The sequence below is a fragment of the Homo sapiens genome, chromosome 19 (assembly GCF_000001405.40).
Source record: "Homo sapiens chromosome 19, GRCh38.p14 Primary Assembly".
Classification (NCBI taxonomy): domain Eukaryota; kingdom Metazoa; phylum Chordata; class Mammalia; order Primates; family Hominidae; genus Homo; species Homo sapiens.
Genome location: NC_000019.10, coordinates 6,917,336 through 6,938,532, shown reverse-complemented (window position 1 = coordinate 6,938,532; position 21,197 = coordinate 6,917,336). Strand labels below are relative to the sequence as shown.

The following is a 21,197-nucleotide window of genomic DNA, read 5'->3' as shown; positions in this document are numbered from 1 at the left end:
TAGGGGCGTGGAATACATTGTTGAAAAAAATAAGACATTCTAGTGGGAAAACCAGCTTTGCCTCCATTTGCATATTCATTCCAATATTTCAATATTCCTGAAAATCTACATATATAAATGTTATCCATAATACATAAAAATTTTCTCTATATAAATATACATGTGAAGATATCTATATTTATTTAATTTTTTTTTGAGATGGAGTTTCGCTCTTTTTGCCCAGGCTGGAGTGCAATGGCACAATCTCTGCTCACTGCAACCTCCGCCTCTTGGGTTCAAGCAATTCTCCTGCCTCAGCCTCATGAGTAGCTGGGATTACAGACACCTGCCACCATGCCCGGCTAATTTTGTATTTTTAATAGAGATGGGGGTTTTGCCATGTTGGCCAGGTTGGTCTCGAACTCCTGGCCTCAGGTAATCTGCCCACCTTAGCCTCCCAAAGTGTTGGGATTACAGGTGTGAGCCACCGCGCCCAGCCGGTATCTATATTTAAACTTACATCTTACATTTATATGTATATAATATTATACATTATATGTATATAATAAGTGCATATAAATGTATTTTATAAACATAACATATAAATATGTATTATTTTTAATATGTTACATAATTCATATACAAATGTATCTATGTAAATCTGTTATAAATTATATATGTCTTATTCTTGAAATTTTATTTAAATAGAGAGATAGATAATGTGTGTGTGTCTGCTAATATATACATATAAATCCCCAGTCTTCAACTCCACACTTCATCCATGAGCTAACTAGGGTGGGCACCCTCAGCTCCCATTCAGTACCCAACACGTGGCAGAGCTGAGTGTCACCAAGAGGCCGGCACCTCCCTCGACCAGCACCTGCAGGGAGCATGCAGTCTCTCACCGTCTTGGAAGCGGATGGCATGGAGGACAGCAAGATCCTTGAGGTCTGGGACTGGGAGCTGGGCTTCGTCTTCCCAGTGATCCACCTCTTGTATTCTTCTCGTACCTGGAGAAGGAGACACATCATCCAGATGCAGGGAAATGGTCCAGTGACAGGGATGTTGGGTGGAGGGATGCGGTGGGGAAGGGGGGAGAGGGGGATGGGAGGAGGGGGATGGGGAGGGCAGCAGCTACACACCTGGCCGTTGAGCAGACAGTGGATGAGGAAGATGAAGGCCCCCTGCAGGCTGTTGATGATGGTGAACAGGTAAGCCATGACACCTGCCACAGGTCCAATCTGAAAAATGCCCAGCACCCAGGAGCAGCCCAGGATGAAGAGCTGGGCAAAGGCCTTGAAGGTCAGTAACCTGGGGAGAAGATGTACAGCATGTAAGGCTCTGGGAGGTGGCTATTGTCCTTGCAGGCCACACTTCCAGGAATGGTCTGAGGTGGCCACTCTCCAATTTGCCACCTAGGTGTGGACAAATGTAGGGTGGGGTCTCCAAGCCTAGGTGTTGCAAAATCAAATCCTATAGACATTTAAATGCAATCAGGCTGGGTGCGGTGGCTCAAGCCTGTAATCCCAGCACTTTGGGAGGCCGAGGTGGGCAGGTCACCTGAGGACAGAAGTTCGAGACCAGCCTGGCCAACATGGTGAAAACCCATCTCTACTAAAAATACAAAAATTAGCTGGGTGTGGTGGTGGGTGCTTGTAATCCCAGCACTTTGGGAGGCCAAGGCTGGTGGATCACCTGAGGACAGGAGTTCGAGCCCAGCCTGGTTAACATGGTGAAAACCCGTCTCTACTAAAAATAGAAAAATTAGCCGGGCACGGTGGCAGATGCCTGTAATCCCAGCTACCCAGGAGGCTGAGGCAGGAGAATCGCTTGAACCTGGGAGGCGGAGGTTGCAGTGAGTCGAGACCGTGCCAATGCCCTCTAGCCTGGGCGAGAGAGAGACTCTGTCTCAAAAAAAAAAAAAAAACAAGGATTTGCCACTAGATAGTGGCGGTCACTGCCCAACACTGTGAATGTACGAAAAGCCACCGAGTTACACGCTTTAAAATGGTTAAAATGGTGAATTTCATCTGATGTGAAACTTATTGCTTACATTTTCTGCTATGAGTATGTGTATGTATCAACTTTGTTTTACCTTTTTGTCTTTTTTTTTTTTTGGAGATGGAGTGTCACTCTGTCACCCAGGCTGGAGTGCAGTGGCGTGATCTTGGCTCACTGCAAGCTCCGCCTCCTGGGTTCAAGCTATTCTCCTGCCTCAGCCTCCCAAGTAGCTGGGACTACAGGTGCCCACCACCATGCCCGGCTAATTTTTTGTATTTTTAGTAAAGACAGGGTTTCACCATGTTAGCCAGGATGATCTCGATCTCCTGACCTCGTGATCCACCTGCCTCAGCCTCCCAAACTGCTGGGAATACAGGCATGAGCCACCACACCAGGCCTCCTTTTTGACTTTTGTACTAACTTTTCAAACATATTTAAAATGGATAAGGGATTGGATACCGAAGAAAAAAGAAGCAAAGAATGTTATTAGGTTACTGACAATAAAACCTAGATGATGGTTGCTGAAGTTTCTTAAAATGAACAGTAGTTGAGTGGGGAAGTTAGGAAACACAATTGACCTGTAAAAATATTTAAGAAGTCCCAAATCCCTAATATAAAATATGTATAACAAAAGTAATGAGATAGAATATTTCACGCATTAAATCAGCAGAAAATACATCAAAAACAATAAACTCCAGTGTTGACAATGTTGCAAGTAAATAGGTATTCTCACCGTCGGAAACAAATTTTCTGAAAATCAATTTACGACGCACATTCTAAAAGCATTACAGTCCAACCTACTCTTCAGGCAGTTGGATTTGGGTAGTTTCATGTTTAGTGTTGTAATTAAATAACCATGGTGTGGAAGGATTTACCTACAAGGGTGCTCAAGGCAGTATTGTTTATACAGAGAACAAACCAAAACCAAAAACACATAGAAGCAAATTAAGTGTCCATGAATATGGTATGACTTAAATACAATGTGCTACAAATTTACACCATATTGTAGAATAATATCTAATGAAGTCAGAAATCATCAGGACATTCTCGAGAGAAAAAAAACCATAAAAAACAAAATAGTATGATTCAGTTTCTTGTAAATGTGCACATATAAGTATACACAGAGAAAAATTAGAAAATTTATTAAGAGTTGTAGTATATGAAACACTCACTGTTCCTAGTAACCGTGCTAAATGCTTTGTAAGGCACCTAAAATAAGCAATGTTAATATCCCCATTCTGTAGGTGAGGCAAATGGGCTTCTGAGAGGTTACGTAACTTGCCTAAGGTCACACAGCTCGTAAATAGTTGAGCTGGACTTTAAGCCTCCAGATCTAGATGGTGTGATATGCTAAACAGACCTCATCACCTCTGTCTCAGGCATAGGACCCAGCACACAAGAAGTGCTCAAAGAACTTTTCTGGGAAGAAGAAAGAGGAAATTAAAAGAGGGGGGGAGGTGAAAGAGGGCTTTACCTGGTGTCTTTTAGCGTTGAGACTTCGGCATTAACACTGGAAAGCCTCTGCCTCAGGATCCACAAGGTCCAGGTCAGGAGAAGGGAGTTGATCTGCAAAGTCAAGCAGAAGGATGGAGAGACTGGATATACAAATAGACAAGGGCCAGAACACCTATAAAAAGAGAACTCTGGGCTGGGCGTGGTGGCTCACGTCTGTAATCCCAGCACTTTGGGAGGCTGAGGCGGGCGGATCTCTTGAGGTCAGGAATTCGAGACCAGCCTGGCAAACATGGTGAAACCTGTCTATACTAAAATACAAAAAAAAAAAAAAAATTAGCCATGCATGGTGGTGGATGCCTGTAATCACAGCTACTCAGGAGGCTGAGGCAGGGGAATCACCTGAACCTGGGAGGCAGAGGTTGCAGACAGCTGAGATTGTGCTACTGCACTCCAGCCTGGCAACAGAGTGAGACTCCATCTCAAAAAAAAAAAAAAAATACAAAAATTAAATTAGGCAGGTGTGGTGGTGCACACCTGTAATCCCAGCTACTTGGGAGGCTGAGGCATGAGAATCACTTGAACCTGGGAGGCAGAGGTTGCAGTGAGCTGAGATTGTGCCACTGCACTCCAGCCTGGCAACAGAGCAAGACTGTGTCTCAAAAAAAAAAAAAAAAAAAAGAAGAAGAAGAAGAATTCTGACCCACGATTTATAGCAACCAATCCAGAAAGCCAAAGAATGATCCATGCAGCAATTGAACCAAGACAGCAGGACTTAGTTAGTAATTGACAGCTTCCTTAATTTTTGTCCCTACTTCCAACTTAGGACCAACAGGTAGAAGCCAATAGGTACCCCTAACCAATCACACAGGATACCCCGCTCCTAGTTAGCCACCTACAGCTTGCCCATCCGTGCAACAGCCTCCAAGCAGGACTTACCTGTAGCCTTCTCTTTTTTTCCTCTATAAACCTTCCCCACTTCTCTGCCTGCCTTTGAGTCTGAGCCAACGCGAGTGATGATGGTAGCTGACTCTCGTACTACTGGACTACAGAAATCTCGGAATAAACAGCCTTTGCTTGTTCTCAATGGGGCGGTCTCTGTGTATTTTCCCAAAGTGCATCCAGTACGTTAGGACATAGACTGCGAACTTGAGTGGAGTTTATTATCTTGAGTTTATCTTCTAAAGCCCTCCCTCAAAAGCATTCCTGAGCAAGATATACATACACCTGGCGCAGGGCCTGTTCACCCACGGCAATACTGACATTTGGGTCAGAGCATTCTTGGTGTGTGGGGGCAGCGGGGAGAAGGGGGCTGCCTTGTGCACGGTAGGATGTTAACCAGCATCCCTGGCTTCTATGCACTAAATGGCAGTAGAACCCACCTCTCTAGTTGTAACAACCAAAAATGTCTTCTGGTCGGGAGCGGTGGCTCATGCCTGTAATCCCAGCACATTGGGAGGCCAAGGTGGGTGGATCACCTGAGGTCAGGAGTTCGAGACCAGCCTGACCAACATGGAGAAACCCCATCTCCACTAAAAATACAAAATTAGCTGGCCGTGGTGCTGCATGCCTGTAATCCCAGCTACCGCAGAGGCTGAGGCAGGAGAATCGCTTGAACCTGGGAGGCAGAGCTTTCAATGAGCAGAGATCATGCCATTGTACTCCAGCCTGGGCAACAAGAGCGAAACTCTGTCTCAAAAAAAAAAAAAAAAAAAGTCTTCACACTTTGCCAACTTCCCCTTAGAGGGAAAACTGCACCAGTGGAGAATCACGGCCCCAGGGGAATTATTTTTTCCAGATGAGTAGAACTTCCAAGAAAGCCCAATGTCCTTGAAGATTTGGGAATGGGTAAGATAAACATTGCATTACTATTATTATTGAGACGGAGTCTCGCTCTTGTCTCCCAGGCTGGAGTGCAATGGCGCAACCTCGGCTCACAGTAACCTCTGTCTCCCAGGTTCAAGCGATTCTCCTGCCTCAGCCTCCTGAGTAGCTGGGATTACAGGCGCGGGCCACCACACCTGGCTAAATTTTGTATTTTCAGTAGAGATGGGGTTTCACCATGTTGGCCGGGCTGGTCTCAGACTCCTGACCCGAAGTGATCTGCCTGCCTTGGCCTCCCAAAGTGCTGGGATTACAGGCATGAGCCACCATGTCTGGCCAACATCATCATAATTATTATTTCCATGATTGTTCATACCTAATATTTACTGCACTCTTGGCAATGCCTGGCATTGTACTAAGCATCTCACACATATGGTTTGTTCATCATCACCACCACCTCCATGAGAGAGGTCTAGAGGGGAGAACTTGGCATTTCAAGGAAGTAGAAAGTTGGCTGGTACAGCCAGAGGGCCGAGCAGGCAGGAAAAAGCCAGAAAGGGACCCTAGGGAAGTTGGGTAGGGCCAGGCAGTGAAGGATCTGAGGTGTCAGGCTCAGGGAGTGGACATCACCCTGAGTGCAATGGAGAAGCTATAGAACAGTTTCACACAGAAGAGCATCAGGATCAACTTTGAGTTTTAGGAATCTCACTCTGAAAATCCCTCTCGCTACAAAACACCAAAAATGCTGGAGGAACCCCAACAGATAGCCTTTTAAATTTATTTATTTATTTATTTTTATTTTATTTTTTGAGACCAAGTCTTGCTCTGTCACCCAGGCTGGAGGGCAGTGGCGCCATCTCGGCTCACTGCAAGCTCCACCGCCCAGGTTCACGCCATTCTCCTGCCTCAGCCTCCTGAGTAGCTGGGACTACAGGCGTGCACCACCACGCCTGGCTGATTTTTTGTATTTTTAGTGGAGACGGGGTTTCACCATGTTAGCCAGGATGGTCTCGATCTCCTGACCTCGTGATCCGCCTGCCTCAGCCTCCCAAAGTGCTGGGATTACAGGCATAAACCACCACGCCCGGCCCAGAATTTTATTTTCTAGTCCACCCTTTCAATAAGAATGGGGTCTTTATTTTATTTGGTGGACTCTACACCTTCTTCAGACCCTAGGGCTTGCCCATCCAACTCCACAAATGACCATTCAATCTCCAAGGTTTTAGATTCTTGATTTTAGGAAATACCCTTAGGGCAGCTACAGCATTCTGGTTCATTACTGCTGTCTAATTTATGGCCTCTGAAGATTTGTTTTTATTTTCTTAACGAGCTTAAGAGGCTGTCTGTTGGGGCCAGGCGCCCCAAGACCTTATTTGGAAATAGAATCTTTACAGAAATAATCAAGTTAAGATGAACTCATTAGGGCAGACCCTAATCTGACTGAAATATGACTAGTGTTCCTTTTTTTTTTTCTTTTTTTTGAGACAGTCTCCCTCTGTCACCCAGGCTGGAGTGCAGTGATGTTATCTCGGCTCACTGCAACCTCTCCCTCCAGGGGTCAAGTTATTCTTGTGCCTCAGCCTCCCGAGGCTGGGACTATTGGTGCCTGCCACCACGCCTGGCTCATTTTTTGTATTTTTCAGTAGAGACAGGGTTTTGCCATGTTGGCCAGGCTGGTCTCGAACTCCTGACTTCAGGTGATCCACCCGCCTCGGCCTCCCAAAATGCTGGGATTACAGGCATGAGCCACTGCACCTGGCCGGTGATCTTACAAATGGGAAAATTTGTTGGAGAGGGGTCTGGAACAGACCCTCCCTCGTGTTGTCATGGGGAGCGTGGCCCTGCCAATACCTTGATTTCAGGCTTCAAGCCTCCAGAACTGTGAAACAACAAGTCTCTGTTGTTCTAAGCCACCCAGCATGCAGTAGCTTATTACGGTGACCCCTGAAAATTAATACATGCCCCCCATTAAAAAAAATCTGATAGACATCAGCACAAAACCTCTGTGGAGGAATATAATTTCAAGCATTCCCAAGACTTAGATCAGTCAAGTAAACATTACAAATGAAACTAGGCACAGAAAGACACATTTCACATGTTCTCAGTTCTTTGTGGGAGCTAAACATTTAAAACAGGTGAACTCATGGAGCTAGAGAGTAGAACAGCAGTTACCAGAAGCTGGGAAGGATAGTGAAGGGGTGGGTGGGGAACAGGGAAGAGGGGATGGTTAATGGGTACAAAAAAATAGAAAGAATGAATAAGATCTAGTATTTGTTAGCAAAACAGGGTGACTATAGTTAATAATAATTGCATTGTAGATTTAAAAATAACCAGGAGAGGCTGGACACAGTGGCTCATGCCTGTAATCCCAGCACTTTGGGAGGTCGAGGCGGGTGGGTCACCTGAGGTCATGAATTCGAGACCAGCCTGGAAAACATGGCGAAATCCCGTCTCTACTAAAAATACAAAAAATTAGCTGGGCGTGGTGGCGCACACCTGTAATCCCAGCTACTCGGGAGGCTGAGGCAGGAGAATCGCTTGAACCCAGGAGGCAGAGACTGCAATGAGCTGAGATCATGCCATTGCACTGCAGCCTGGGTGACAGAGCAAGACTCTGTCTCAAAATAAAAATAAAAATAAACCAAACAATAAAACAAAACAAAAACCAGAAGAACATAATTGGATTGTGTGTAACACAAAGGACAAATGCTTGAGGGGACAGATACCTCGTTGACTCTGATGTGATTATTATGTATTCTGTGCCTGTATGAAAATATTTCATATACCCCATAAATATATACACTTACTTTGTGCCCACAAAAATTAAAAATAAAAAAAAATTTAATCCTCGAAAAATATGACAAAAGACATAAGGGAATGAGCCACCATGAGTGAGAGTCAGAAGAATCATCATCTGGCAGGGCTGTCAAGTCTGGATGGAGGTTGGGAGGCAAAGAGATGGGTGTTTAACATTCCCTGGCCTCCCTTTGCCTCGATCCACCATTTCCCTCTGTCATCTCACTCCTTCCCCCACAATTCCTCCTAATTTCTTTTTACTTTTTCTTTCATTCAACATCTGTGCCTAGGAGATGACATAGGATTTAAAAAAGATTTATTTAGGCAGATAGTGAGGGTAAGGAAGTCCTCGGTAAGGTTTTCCTTTTAATGAAAAGCAGCTCCCAAATCATTTTCTTTTCTAATGGAGAGCAGCCGGTAGAATCGAGCTATAGACATAGAAAGGCAAGCTAGAAGCTTGCATGGGTGAATGCTGGCAGTTGTGCCAATAGGAAAGCGGTTACCTGGGGAATAGGCATGTTCAAAATGGCAGCTCTGGCTGGGCGCAGAGACTCACGCTTGAAATCCCAGCACTTTGGGAGGCTGAGGCAGGTGGATTAACTGAGGTTAGGAGCCTGGTCAACGTGGTGAAACCCCATCTCTACTAAAAGTACAAAAATTAGCTGGTCATAGTGGCATATGCCTGTAATCCCAGCACTTGGGGAGGCCGAGGCAGGCAAACTACGTGAGGTCAGGAGTTTGAGACCAGCTTGGCCAACGTGGTGAAAACCCATCTCTATTAAAAATACAAAATTGCCGGGTGTGGTGGTGCGTGCCTGTAATCCCAGCTATTCGGGAGGCTGAGGCAGAATAATTGCTTGAACCCAGGAGGCAGAGGTTGCAGTGAGCCGAGATTGCACCACTGCACTCCAGCGTGGGTGACAGAGTGAGACTCCGTCTAAAAAAAAAGAAAAAAAAAATGGCAGCTCCGTCTTCCCTTTTCTTTGTAAACCATGTAGACAGTAAGGAGAAGACAACATGGTGCCAGCCAAGTAAAGACCCCATTTGCATAATAAAAGATCAGGGTGGGTGGCCAGCTTCCTCGCGCTCTACGTAAATGTCACACTGGGTCCAACCAATCTTTGGGCCCTATGTAAATCAGACACCGCCCCCTCAAGCCAGTCTAAAATCTGTTGCACTTTGCTGCGGGCCAGAAGTCCCACTCAGGAGGCCCTCTCTCTTGCAAGACACAGAGAGCTAGTCTCCTTTCTCTTTCTTTTGCCTATTAAACCTCTGCTCTTAAACTCACTCCTTGTGTGTGTCTGTGTCCTTGATTTCCTTAGCATGAGGCAACGAACCTCAGGCATTATTACCCCCAGACAATGACACTGCTTCAGAGAGACTCATGGACCTGTGCACAAGACGGATACAATTATGGTCCCTCCCAGGGGTATTTGCCTTTCAGAAGGAAAAACAAAATTCCCAAGTCAAAGAAATTACTCTGTAACTTCGAAATCTCAAGAATGAAGGATTGGAAGGGAGAACTTTTTTTTTTTTTTTTTGAGATGGAGTTTTGCTCTTGTTGCCTAGGCTGGAGTGCAATGGCGCAATCTCGGCTCACCGCAACCTCTGCCTCCCTGGTTCAAGCAATTCTCCTCTCCTGCCTCAGCCTCCTGAGTAGCTGGGATTACAGGCATGTGCCAACACACCCAGCTAATTTTGTATTTTTAGTAGAGATGGGGTTTCTCCATGTTGGTCAGGCTGGTCTTGAACTCCTGACCTCAAGTGATCCTGGGCCTCTCAAAGTGCTGGGATAACAGGCATGAGCCACCGCAACCTGGCCGATAACTTATTTATTTATTTTTTTTTTTTTGAGACGGAGTTTCACTCTGTTGCCCAGGCTGGAGTACAGTGGCATGAATTTGGCTCACTGCAACCTCCATGTCTCCTGGATTCAAGCGATTCTCCTGCCTCAGCCTCCTAAGTAGCTGGGATTACAAGTGCTCGCCACCACACCCAGCTAATTTTTTGTATTTTTAGCAGAGATGGGGTTTCGCCAAGTTGGCCAGACTGTTCTCGAACTCCTGACCTCAGGTGATCCACCCGCCTCAGCCTCCCAAAGTGCTGGGATTACAGGCGTGAGCCACCACGCCCGGCCTGGAAAGGAGAACTTTTGATGGGAATAAGTGACCCTCTCAGCTGCACACGTCCCTGGAAATTCCAGATCTCGCAGGTCTCCTTGCTCCTCCTTCAGAACACACTTCGCCAGGCTGTTGTAGTATTTGCTTACCACTATAACTGTGCAAACTGGCCCCAAGAAACTCCAGATGAACCCTGTCTCTGTATTCAGCCAGCAGCTGTGGAGAGAAATAGGAGGAGTCAGCGCTTGTCTCAGAGTCCTGACCTTACAGTTAACCCTGTCCCAACAAATGCCCTAGTGGAGGAGAACACTGGGAGGTGAGACTCAGATGATGCTCAGGATGGTCCCGGTTGCAGTTCAGTTTCCTTTAGATCACTGCGCTTCCTCTTTTAGACCTTCTTCCTGGGCAAATGTACCTGAAATGTTTACCTAGTGCCCAAGGTTGAGCTCATTTCCCAATTCACAACTTTGTAATCCTGTTTCCCTCTATGCAGAACTCTCCACTGGTACACCTTATCATTCAAATCTCAGCTCAGGCCGGGCGTGGGGTCTCACGCCTGTAATCCCAGCTACTTGGGAGGCTGAGATAGGAGAATCGCTTGAACCCAGGAGGTGGAGGTTGCAGTGAGCTGAGATCACGCCACCGCACTCCAGCCTGGGTGACAAGAGCAAAACTCTGTCTCAAGATAAATAAATAACAAATAAATAAATAAATAAATAAATCTCAGCTCAAATGTCACCTCCTCTGAGAAGCCACTCCTGACTATCCTTAGATAGGGCAACCTGTCTCTGCTCCTGGTATCCATCTAGCAGAGCTCACTGCATTTTTAAAACAGCAGCTATCACTATCGTAAGTTACCTTGTTTAATTGCTTGTGTAACTGCAAACTGTCTTCCACTACTAGACTATGAGTTTCATGAGAATTTGGGCCTTAGGTGTTTGTTCATCTCTGAATACTCAGCACTCAGAGCACAGCCTAGCATAGACAAGATATTTCATAAAATTGTTTATTCGAAGAAAGGAAGGAAAGAAGGAAAGAAGGGAGGGAGGAAGGGAGGAAGAGAGGGAGGGAGGGAAGGGAAGGAAGGCAAGGAAGGAAGGGAGGGAGGGAGGGAGGAAGGAAGGAGGGAGGGAAGAGGGGAGGGAGGAAGAAGGGAGGAGGGAGGGAGGGAGAGTGGGAGGGAGGAAGAAAGGATTGGCTCCTTTTATTATGTCTCTAGTGTACATTAGCTGCTTTTACAACACAACAACCATTCCGTCATGTTCAATAACAGCACCCCAATATTCCCCCCACTTTTTTCTGAGATGAAGTCTCGCTCTTGTCCCCCAGGCTGGAGTGCAATGATGCCATCTCATCTCACTGCAGCCTCCGCCTCCCGGGTTCAGGTGATTCTTCTGCTTCGGCCTCCCGAGTAGCTGGGATTACAGGTGCACACCACCATGCAGAAGTATTCCTTTCCCACTTTCACCCCCACCACCCCCCATGTCATACACGCAAGAAAAGGAAAATAATCAAGTTAGGTAAACCAGATGTTCTCTTCCTGGAACATAAACCTCAAATAGTAGTGATCCTGGATTTGTGCAGTGCACAACCCATGCTGCTGTACATGGTGGTCCTGAAACCAATAGTACATAATAGAAGAGCTCGATAAATGGTAGCCACAACTACTGCTACTGTTGTTACTCTTCTTGTTGCTCATGTCATTATCACCATAAGCCCTGGCAGCAGGGTCTTCAGGAAGAGAGAGGATGTCACTCACCGATTATGCATTCCATAGCCCTGTGGCTGCACACTGGCAGAGATCACCACCACCAGCATCGGCAGCCCATAACCAAAGGCACAGATGTGCAGCATCTTGATGTTGCGAGAGCTGAAGTAATTCACCACCTTCAGGTTTCTGACCATCAAGAACAGTATCACAGCCTCCACCAGCATCCAGAAGAAGCAGGCAAGGAAAAGGTAGTGCAGGAAGCCCGCGATGATGGCGCAGCCCATCTGGAGGGGAGAAGCATGCGCATCAGAATCCTCCACCCCAGAGAGAAATCGAAAGGAAGAAAGGAAGAGAGAGACTCCTCGGCTGGAAATTCCCCAAACCTAGCTCACTCATTCATCTCACAAACATTTATAGAGAGGTGCAGTGGTTCTTGACCACAGGGAGGAGCACTTCTTGGTAAGGAGACCCATGGTCCTGGTTTGTCTGGACCTAAGATTTCCCAAGACGCATGACTTTCAGTTCTAAAACAGGAAGAGTTTTAGGAAAACTGATTGTCGATCACCCTACTTTAGGGAATGGTTGAAAACAGGCGGGTTCAGCAAACTAGACCCCATAGGCTGGCTGCCTGCCTTGTAAATAAAGTTTTACTGGCTGGGTGTGGTGGCTCATGCTTGTAATCCCAGCACTTTGGAAGGCTGAGGCAGGCAGATCGCTCAAGCCCAGGAGTTTGAGACCAGACTGGGCAACATGATGAAACCCCCCTCTCTATACAAAAATACAAAAATTAGCCAGACATGGTGGCACAGGCCTGTGGTCCCAGGTACTTGGGAGGCAAACGTGGGAGGATCGCTTGAGCCTGGTAGGCTATAAGGAGCTGTGATTCGGCCACTGCACTCTAGCCTGGGTGACATAGCAAGACCCTGTCTCAAAAAAACTAAAAAAATTAAAAATTTAAAAAAAGAAAAGAAAAATAAAGGGAAGTAGAGATTCTAAACTGTAGCATTATCGACATCTGTAACATTATTGCAGAGTCATTCTCTGCCGTGGAGGGCTGCCTTGGGCACGACAAGATACTTAGCAGTATCCCTAACCTTTACCCACCAGAGAGCAGTAGCACGCTGCTCCAGTTGTGACAAGGAAAAATGTCCCCAGACATTGCCAAGTCTCCCCTGGGGACAAAAAGCACCCAGGGAGAGAACCTCTGGTTTAGAAAGTAACAGGAGGGGCCGTGCGTGATGGCTGAAGCCTATAATCCCAGCACTTTGGGAGACCAAGGCGGGTGGATCACCTGAGGTCAGGAGTTCAGGACTAGCCTGGCCAAAATGGTGAAACCCCGTCTCTACTAAAAATACAAAAAAATTAGCCGGGCATAGTGTCTCATGCCTGTATTCCCAGCTTCTCAGGAGGCTGAGGCAGGAGAATTGCTTGAACCAAGAGGCAGGGGTTGCAGTGAGCCAAGATCGTGCCATTGCACTCCAGCCTGGGCAACAAGAGCGAAACTCAGTATCAAAAACAAACAAACAAACAAACAAAAACAAGTAATAGGAGGAACCACTATAATTCATAACACGATCAGGGACATAAGTTTAAACTGAGAGCTGTCACAAGGAGTCAAGCAGGTAAGAAGCTGGGAAGTGAGTGTTACAGGCAGAGGGCACAGCATATGCAAAGGCCCTGAGGTAGGAACAGGGATAGAGGGAGTTGGCTAGGAATGAGCTGAGGCAGGTGGGGAGAAGATGGGGCTTGGTGGGGACACAGCCCGAGCGATGTAGACCTTGTTGTCAGTCTTGTGTATACCGGCGAGGAAGAGAGTCTTCGCCAAGAGGAGACACACGCAGAGGTGCAGGTGGAGGTAGGTGTTGTGATTTCGGATGGAGCGACACAGCAGAAAGGTGGCGATGGCCAAGACGAGGCACACCAAGGAGATGATAATGCCTACATGGCTAATGATGTACAAGGAAAAGTCCATCTGTCAGGAAGGAATTTCAGAGTTGGCCTGAGAATGGGATCAAAATCCCCCCAGGCGGGAAGAAGAGTTATCTAAAACCCTGGCTCGGGCAAAATTAGCTTGGGGGAATTTTCTCCCTCTAACACTCAGAGTGAACTAGATACTGTCCTTCATTATCCTTTGCAATCCACTGGCATCCACCAGCACCTATTCCCAGTCCTGTCCTATGCGTTACTCCATGTATTACTGGGGCTTGATGTCCACAAACTACATCTCCCAGAATCCTTTGGAACTAAGGTCCTGGATGTAATTTAAGTTCTCCAGTGAGATACATCTGTGAAGGTTTTGGAATGCAGAAGGGAGGCAAATATCAGCTTTCGGCAGACAGGAGTGAGCCTAATTCCACATTTCAACTGTCCAGTCCCCAATTTCATGGTGGAGTGGGGTGGCAAAATGACAGCAGCAATTTCTGACCTCTGAGTTACAGCTGCATTGGGGGATGACCTTGAAGCCAAAATTGAAGTGACAGCCCCCTGACTTCAACTCCTCCATCCCCTCCCAGAGATTTTTGTGAGCACCCAATTCCCTGTGTTAAATGCCTTTCTGCTTGAAATACCTGGGGTGGTTTTTGCTTCCTGTACTGAATCCCAACTGATAATGCAGACATTCAGGAATGCTTCAACTTCAGGAGTGGAACGTGACAAGCTAAGTCCTTCTTCTATGCCATTTATTCATAATTAATTTTAAAATTAATTTTAAATGTCTCTGAGTGGTTTCTGTGGGTTAAAGATAAGCCAGGCACCATCTTATGAGCACCTCTCTATGATATTGTCACAAAGTGGTTAAGAAAACTGACCATTGGCTGGGCGCAGTGGCTCATGCCTGTAATCCCAGCACTTATGGGAGGCTGGGGCGGGTGGATCACCTGAGCTCAGAAGCTTGAAACCAGCCTGGCCAACATGGCGAAATCCTATCTCTACTAAACAAACAAACAAAAAATATTAGCCAGGCATGGTGGCGGGCACCTGTAATCCCAGCTACATGGGAGGCTGAGGCAGGAGAATTGGTTGAACCTGGGAGGCAGAGGTTGCAGTGAGCTGAGATCACACCTCTGCACTCCAGCCTGGGCAACAAGAGTGAAACTCAGTCTAGAAAAAAGAAAAAGAAAAAGAAAGAAAAAAACTGGCCAATTTCTAGTTGTGTGATTTTGGACAAGACACTTAACTGCTCTGTGCCCTCAGTTTCCTCATCTGTTGAAAAGAGAATATTAATGGCAATTGCCTTATAGAGTTGTTTTAGGATTAAATGAAAACATTTCAAGTACAACTGTGCCAGAAGCATACTATATAAATACTAGTTATCAGTATTTTTTTGTTATTGTTGTTCTCATTTTTGAGATGAGAGAGCTGGGCTCAGTGCAGAGAAGTTAAGTGACTTTTCCAAGAAAACACAGCTAGAAAGTGGTAGAGACAAGACTTGAAACTAAGTCAGTTTTGTTCTGGATCCAGTTCTCTTAAATCCTAAGCCACAGGGTCCTCGAAATGGCACTTACTTATGGCCTCTCTGGTAGGGAATTAAACCTTGGATCTACCATGATAGGAAAGGATACTTTCTTTCTTTTTGAGACGGAGTCTGGTTCTGTCACCCAGGCTGGAGTACAGTGGCATGATCTCAGCTCACTGCAAGCCCTGCCTCCCGGGTTCACGCCATTCTCCCGCCTCAGCCTCCCGAGTAGCTTGGACTGCAGGTGCCCGCCACCACGCCCGGCTAATTTTTTGTATTTTTAGTAGAGATGGGGTTTCACCGTGTTAGCCAGGATGGTCTCGATCTCCTGACCTTGTGATCTGCCCACCTCGGCCTCCCGAAGTGCTGGCATTACAGGCGTGAGCCACCGAGCCAGGTGAAAGGATACTTTCTACAACACTAATGAGGATGTCCTTCCTCTCTTCCAAATCTACTCATTTACCAAGGCTTATTTCATATTGTTTCCTCATGATCTATCATCGGCTCTCTTGGAAACACCTCAGAATTCTTTTTGTTTGTGTGTGTGTGTGTGTGTGTGTGTGTGTGTGTGTGTGTGTGTGTGAGACAGAGTCTCACTCTGTTGCCAGGCTGGAATGCAGTGGTGCCATCTCAGCTCAGTGCAACCTCTGCCTCCCAGGTTCAAGCGATTCTCCTGCCTCAGCCTCCCAAGTAGCTGGGACAACAGGCATGCACCACCATGCCCAGCTAATTTTTATATTCTTAGTAGAGACGGGGGTTTCACCATGTTGGCCAGGATGGTCTCGATCTCTTGACCTCATGATCCGCCCGCCTCAGCCTCCCAAAGTGCTCGGATGACAGGCATGAGCCACCACACCCGGCCAACACCTCTGAATTCTTACAGCATTTCTTCTTGACCCATTTGCATGTGTTAGTGGAAAGAGACTTCCCCAGATTTGAATTCCACCTGCTCCAATTTCTAGCTTCAGGACTAGACGGGCCACTTTACCCATTCTGTGAAATGGGTCTAAAACCACTTAACTTAAAGAGCCCAGCACACTGTATGTGCTCATTAAGTAAGATCTGTGATTGCTCCAGTGCCTGGCCCTACTTAGGGTCATTATTTCTCATTGTATATTTGAGTTTCATGGCCTCCCAACCAGACTGTAAATTCTGCAGGGGCAAAGGCATATCACCTACCCCTTCTGTCCCCGTGACTCCATCCCACAACACCCAACCCCATGGGAGACACACAACAGATGTTTAATCAATATTTTCCCATTGGATTTGGAGGCAGATACTCTGCCTCAGGGAACAAATCATCAGTACTGACCGTGAGCTCCCCAGACGCCATGATAACGGCAAGATTTGCCATCTGATTACAGCTGCAGATGGTATATGTCTCAGAAGCTTCCAGGATCACACAGCCAAAGGATGTCCATCTTCCACCCTTCACATCAGTGCTCCAGGAAACACAGATGGGCCTCTCAAACTTCTGCTTTGGCTAAAAAAAACAAAAAAACAAAAAAACAAAGGTCTTCTGGGAATCCCCATCAAATGGATTAAATGTGACCATCCTCAAGAGTCACTGGGAACAAGAATACACAGGGTATGTTCTGAGGGAATGGGGAAAAATGCTGGTATTTCATTATGCAGTGAGGGCCAATCTGATAGGGCAGCTCACATTGCTGTTGCTAGAAGAAAACTCCTCCTTTCATCAAATCCATAATAAAGCCTTCTGCATAGTCACTCATTATTCACTTATTCATTGAATGTGTGGTTTGTGTGTGTGTGTGTGACAGAGTCTCACTCTGTTGCCCAGGCTGGAGTGCAGTGGTGCAGTCTCGGCTCGCTGCAACCTCTGCCTCCGGGGTTCAAGCGATTCTTCTGCCTCAGCCTCCCAAGTAGCTGGGATTACAGGTGCCCGCCACCATGCCTAGCTAATTTTTGTACTTTTAGTAGAGACGGGGTTTTACCATGTTGGCCAGACCAGTATTGAACTCCTGATGTCAAGTGATTCACCTGCCTCGGGCCTCCCAAAGTTCTGGGATTACAGGTGTGTGTCACCATATCCAGCTAATTTTTGTATTTTTAGTAAAGATGGGGTTTCTCCATATTGGCCAGGCTGGTCTCGAACTCCTGACCTCAAGTGATCCTCCTGCATAGACCTCCCAAAGTGCTGGGATTACAGGCAAGAGCCACCACACCCAGCCTCATTCAACGTGTTTTTATTGAACACCTATTACATGCCTTGATCTGTGCTGTTTACAGGAGACATGAGAAAACAGTTCTTCCCCCAAAAAGAGATCATAGTGCAGTGGGAGAAAAAATCATAAAAACCAAGTAAGCAGAGAAATATTTTTAGTAACAGTTTAAGAACAACATGCTTTAAGAATGTATCCTAGAAGGGTGGGCACGGTGGCTCATGCCTGTAATCCCAGCACTTCAGGAGGCTGAGGCGGGTGGATCACCTAAGCTCAGGAGTTCCAGACCAACCTGAGCAACACGGTGAAACTCCGTCTCTACTAAATACAAAAAAGTTAGCTGGGCATGTGGTGGGCACCCGTAATCCCAGCTACTCGGGAGAATGGCTTTACCCGAGGAGGTGAGGGTTGCAGTGAGCCAAGGTTGCACCATTGAACTCCAGCCTGGGCAACAAGAGTGAAACTCCATCTCAAAAAAAAAAAAAAAAAAAAAAAAGCGGGCATGGTGGTTCATGCCTGTAATCCCAGCACTTTGGGAGGCCAAAGCGGGCGGATCACGAGGTCAGGAGATCAAGACCATCCTGGCTAACATGGTGAAACCCCGTCTGCACTAAAAATACAAAAAATTAGCCGGTCATGGTGGCGGGCGCCTGTAATCCCAGCTACTCGGGAGGCTGAGGCAGGAGACTGGCGTGAACCTGGGAGGTGGAGCTTGCAATGACTTGAAATTGTGCCACTGCACTCCAGCCTGGGTGACAGAGTGAGACTAAAAAAAAAAAAAGAAGCAACCACCACATAGCAGGATCCAGGATCCAATCAGATCAAGACCTGGCAACACCCCATGGCCGGATCCAATCAGATCACACCTCCCTGCATCACTTCATTGTAAGATGCAATCAGATTGCAGTTCATTACCCACCGACTATAAAACCTGCCCCAGCCTCCCAGCTTGGGAAGACAGATTTGAGCCAGACTCTTGTCTCCTTGCTTGGCAGCCTTGCAATAAACTTCTCTCTCTACAAAAACCCGGTGCTTCGGTGTTTGGCTTTCTGTTGCACATGGGCAAATGGACCTAGTTCTGTTTGGTGACAGTGGGAGACCTCATTCCTCTAGCGGTAGCTTCTGTTAATTGGCTTGAATTGCTGGAAATTGTGGAAGCTTACCGGCCTCAATAGCTTCCCGTAAAAAATGAGAGTTAAGGCAATCGAGAGACGAGGAGTTCCCAACAGGTAGACAAGAATCTCAGTAGAGACCTCTTCACAAACCTGAATGTTCTCCAGAGTGTAGATGATTGGATCTGAGAAGCCGTCTTTCTTCTCTCCAGTCATTATGCCCCCAACGACTCGAGAATTCATCTTCAGCTTGATCTCAGAGGTGGTCAAGGGAGCCTGGTGGTCTTTGAAGAAGCGCTCATTTAAAACCGATTCCATGCCCACAAAGGAGACAAAAGCCACACCAGTGGTCTCTGCAGGTTTCCCCAAATGAAAAAAAGGAAGGAATCGTTTGCTCAATTGTTATTATAGAAGACCCAACACACACACACACACACACACACACACACACACACACAGAGGGAGGGAGGGGGAGAGAGAGAGAGAGAGAGAGAGTCATGCACCTCACCGTGCTGCTCTGAGATTAAAATAACCAGCGGGCTTCTAGAACCATTAAAAAAAAAAAACCTCTGGCCGGGCATGGTGGCTCACGCCTATAATCCAGCACTTTGGGAGACCAAGGCGGGTGGATCACGAGGTCAGGAGATCGAGACCATCCTGACCAACATGGTGAAACCCCGTTTCTACTAAAATACAAAAAATTAGCCGGGCGTGGTGATGCGCACCTGTAGCTCCAGCTACTTGGGAGTCTGAGGCAGGGGAATCGCTTGAACCCGGGAGGCGGAGATTGCAGTGAGCCGAGATCGCACCACTGCACTCCAGCCTAGTGACAGAGCAAGACTCCATTTCAAAACAAAACAAAATAAAAACTTCCACAGCTGGGCAGAGTGGCTCACGCCTGTAATCCCAGCACTTTGGGAGGCCAAGGCAAGTGGATCACTTGAGGTCAGGAGTTCCAGGCCAACCTGGCCAATATGGTGAAATCCTGTCTATACTAACAATAAAAAAACTAGCCAGGCGTGGTGGCAGGTGCCTGTAGTCCCAGCTACTCGGGAGGCCGAGGTACGACAATCGCTTGAACCTGGGAGGCGGAGGTTGCAATGAGCCAAGATCCCGCCACTGCACTCCAGCCTGGGTGACAAAAAAAGAAAACAAAACAAAACAGACCTCCCAGTGCTCTTACCTGGAGAAGTCTTGGCTACATTTAAAAATAAATTTGAACTTGTGTTTTTAAGGGACAATGCAACTCAGTGGGAAATAAGTTCTCCCACATCTATGGTTATTCTGTTTCAGTCTCTTTGGGGAGTGTCCCCTTTAAATATGGACGGTCTCCAGGGATACGTCCTATGCCGCTTCCTGTCCCAACCAGACAGTACCAACCCCCAGGCTTCATCTGCCCCTTGGATGTCCCCCCAGACATCATAAATTGAGCAATTCCTCTCCCATCTTCTTTTTTTTTTGAGACAGAGTCTTGCTCTGTTGCCCATGCTGGAGTGCAATGGCAGGTTCTCGGCTCACTGCAACGTCTGCCTTCCGGGTTCAAGCGATTCTCCTGCCTCAGCCTCCCGAGTAGCTGGGATTACAGGCACCCGAGACCACACCCAGCTAATTTTTTGTATTTTTAGTGGAGACGGGGTTTCACCATGTTGGCCAGGCTGGTCTTGAACTCTGGACCTCAGGTGATCTGCCCGCCTTGGCCTCCCAAAGTGCTGGGATTACAGGCGTGAGCCACCATGCCTGGCTCTCTCATCTTCTTTTATCTGCATCTCCTACTTCAATAACTGATATTACCTGATCTGGAACCTGGAGAGTCATCCTTGAATTCTTCTCCCCGCAAAACAGATTCCTCCTCCTTAATGTGCCTTGAACCTGTCTTCTCCCCACTTCTCCCTTCTAATTAGCCTTAGACCAAGCCTCACATCTCTCTCCCAGACCACTGGCTTCCTCACAAATGTCCTTGCCTTCCCCTAGCCTCACCTCTCCAATGGATTGCCCATATCACAGCCAGAGGATTTATTTCTAAAAAGACATCTATCTGGAAGACATAATCAGATCATCCTGCTGTATACAGAACTTTCCAAGGCTTTCTGTGCCCAACAGAGAAAGTCCAAATGTAATAAACTGGGATGCAACACCCTCAATTCTTTTTTTTTTTTTTTTTGAGATGGAGTCTCATTCTGTCACCCAGGCTGGAGTGCAGTGGCGCGATCTCAGCTCACTGCAGCCTCCACCTCCCAGGTTCAAGCAATTCTCCTACCTCAGCCTCCTGAGTAGCTGGGATTACAGGCACCCGCCACCACACCAGGCTCATTCTTTATATTTTTAGTAGAGATGAGATTTCACCATATTGGTCAGGCTGGTCTCGAACTCCCAACCTCAGGTGATCCACCCACCTCCACCTCCCAAAGTGTTGGGATTACAGGTGTGAGCCACCACGCCCAGCGACCCTCAATTCTTTTCCCTCTCTCCCCCACATTCCTGATGCTCCAGCCCACTCTACTTTTAGTTCCATGACCATACCAAGCTTTTTTTCAACACAGAGCCATAGCTTATACTTCCTGTAAC

General features: G+C 46.9%; 1 protein-coding gene and 1 long non-coding RNA gene across 7 annotated transcripts in view, besides 1 other annotated feature; one reads left to right on the top strand and one right to left on the bottom strand.

The window, feature by feature from the left end:
• Positions 1-21,197, bottom strand: part of ADGRE1 (adhesion G protein-coupled receptor E1) — a 52,872-nt gene that overhangs the window by 1,918 nt on the left and 29,757 nt on the right. For 4 of the 6 annotated variants that reach the window (XM_011527794.2, NM_001974.5, NM_001256255.2 and 1 more), the window contains 8 exons: positions 18,786-18,985; positions 16,650-16,820; positions 13,661-13,855; positions 11,932-12,167; positions 10,322-10,388; positions 3,455-3,546; positions 1,122-1,290; positions 885-989 (listed from right to left, as the gene is read on the bottom strand). In XM_011527794.2, the coding sequence (XP_011526096.1) occupies positions 885-989; positions 1,122-1,290; positions 3,455-3,546; positions 10,322-10,388; positions 11,932-12,167; positions 13,661-13,855; positions 16,650-16,820; positions 18,786-18,985 (1,235 nt within the window). Of the gene's footprint in view, positions 1-884; positions 990-1,121; positions 1,291-3,454; positions 3,547-10,222; positions 10,389-11,931; positions 12,168-13,660; positions 13,856-16,649; positions 16,821-18,785; positions 18,986-21,197 lie in introns of all 6 variants that reach the window. The other 2 variants (NM_001256252.2, NM_001256253.2) reach the window with 2 other exon arrangements.
• The window catches only part of LOC105372256 (uncharacterized), a 36,712-nt gene that overhangs the window by 171 nt on the left and 15,344 nt on the right, over positions 1-21,197 (top strand). The window lies entirely within an intron of this gene.
• Positions 12,009-12,248: an enhancer, noted in NCBI's record as "active region_13869". NCBI's record gives its function as "activates an Ori minimal core promoter by ATAC-STARR-seq in GM12878 lymphoblastoid cells {active_cell/tissue: GM12878}" and the evidence as "EXISTENCE:reporter gene assay evidence [ECO:0000049][PMID:35858748]".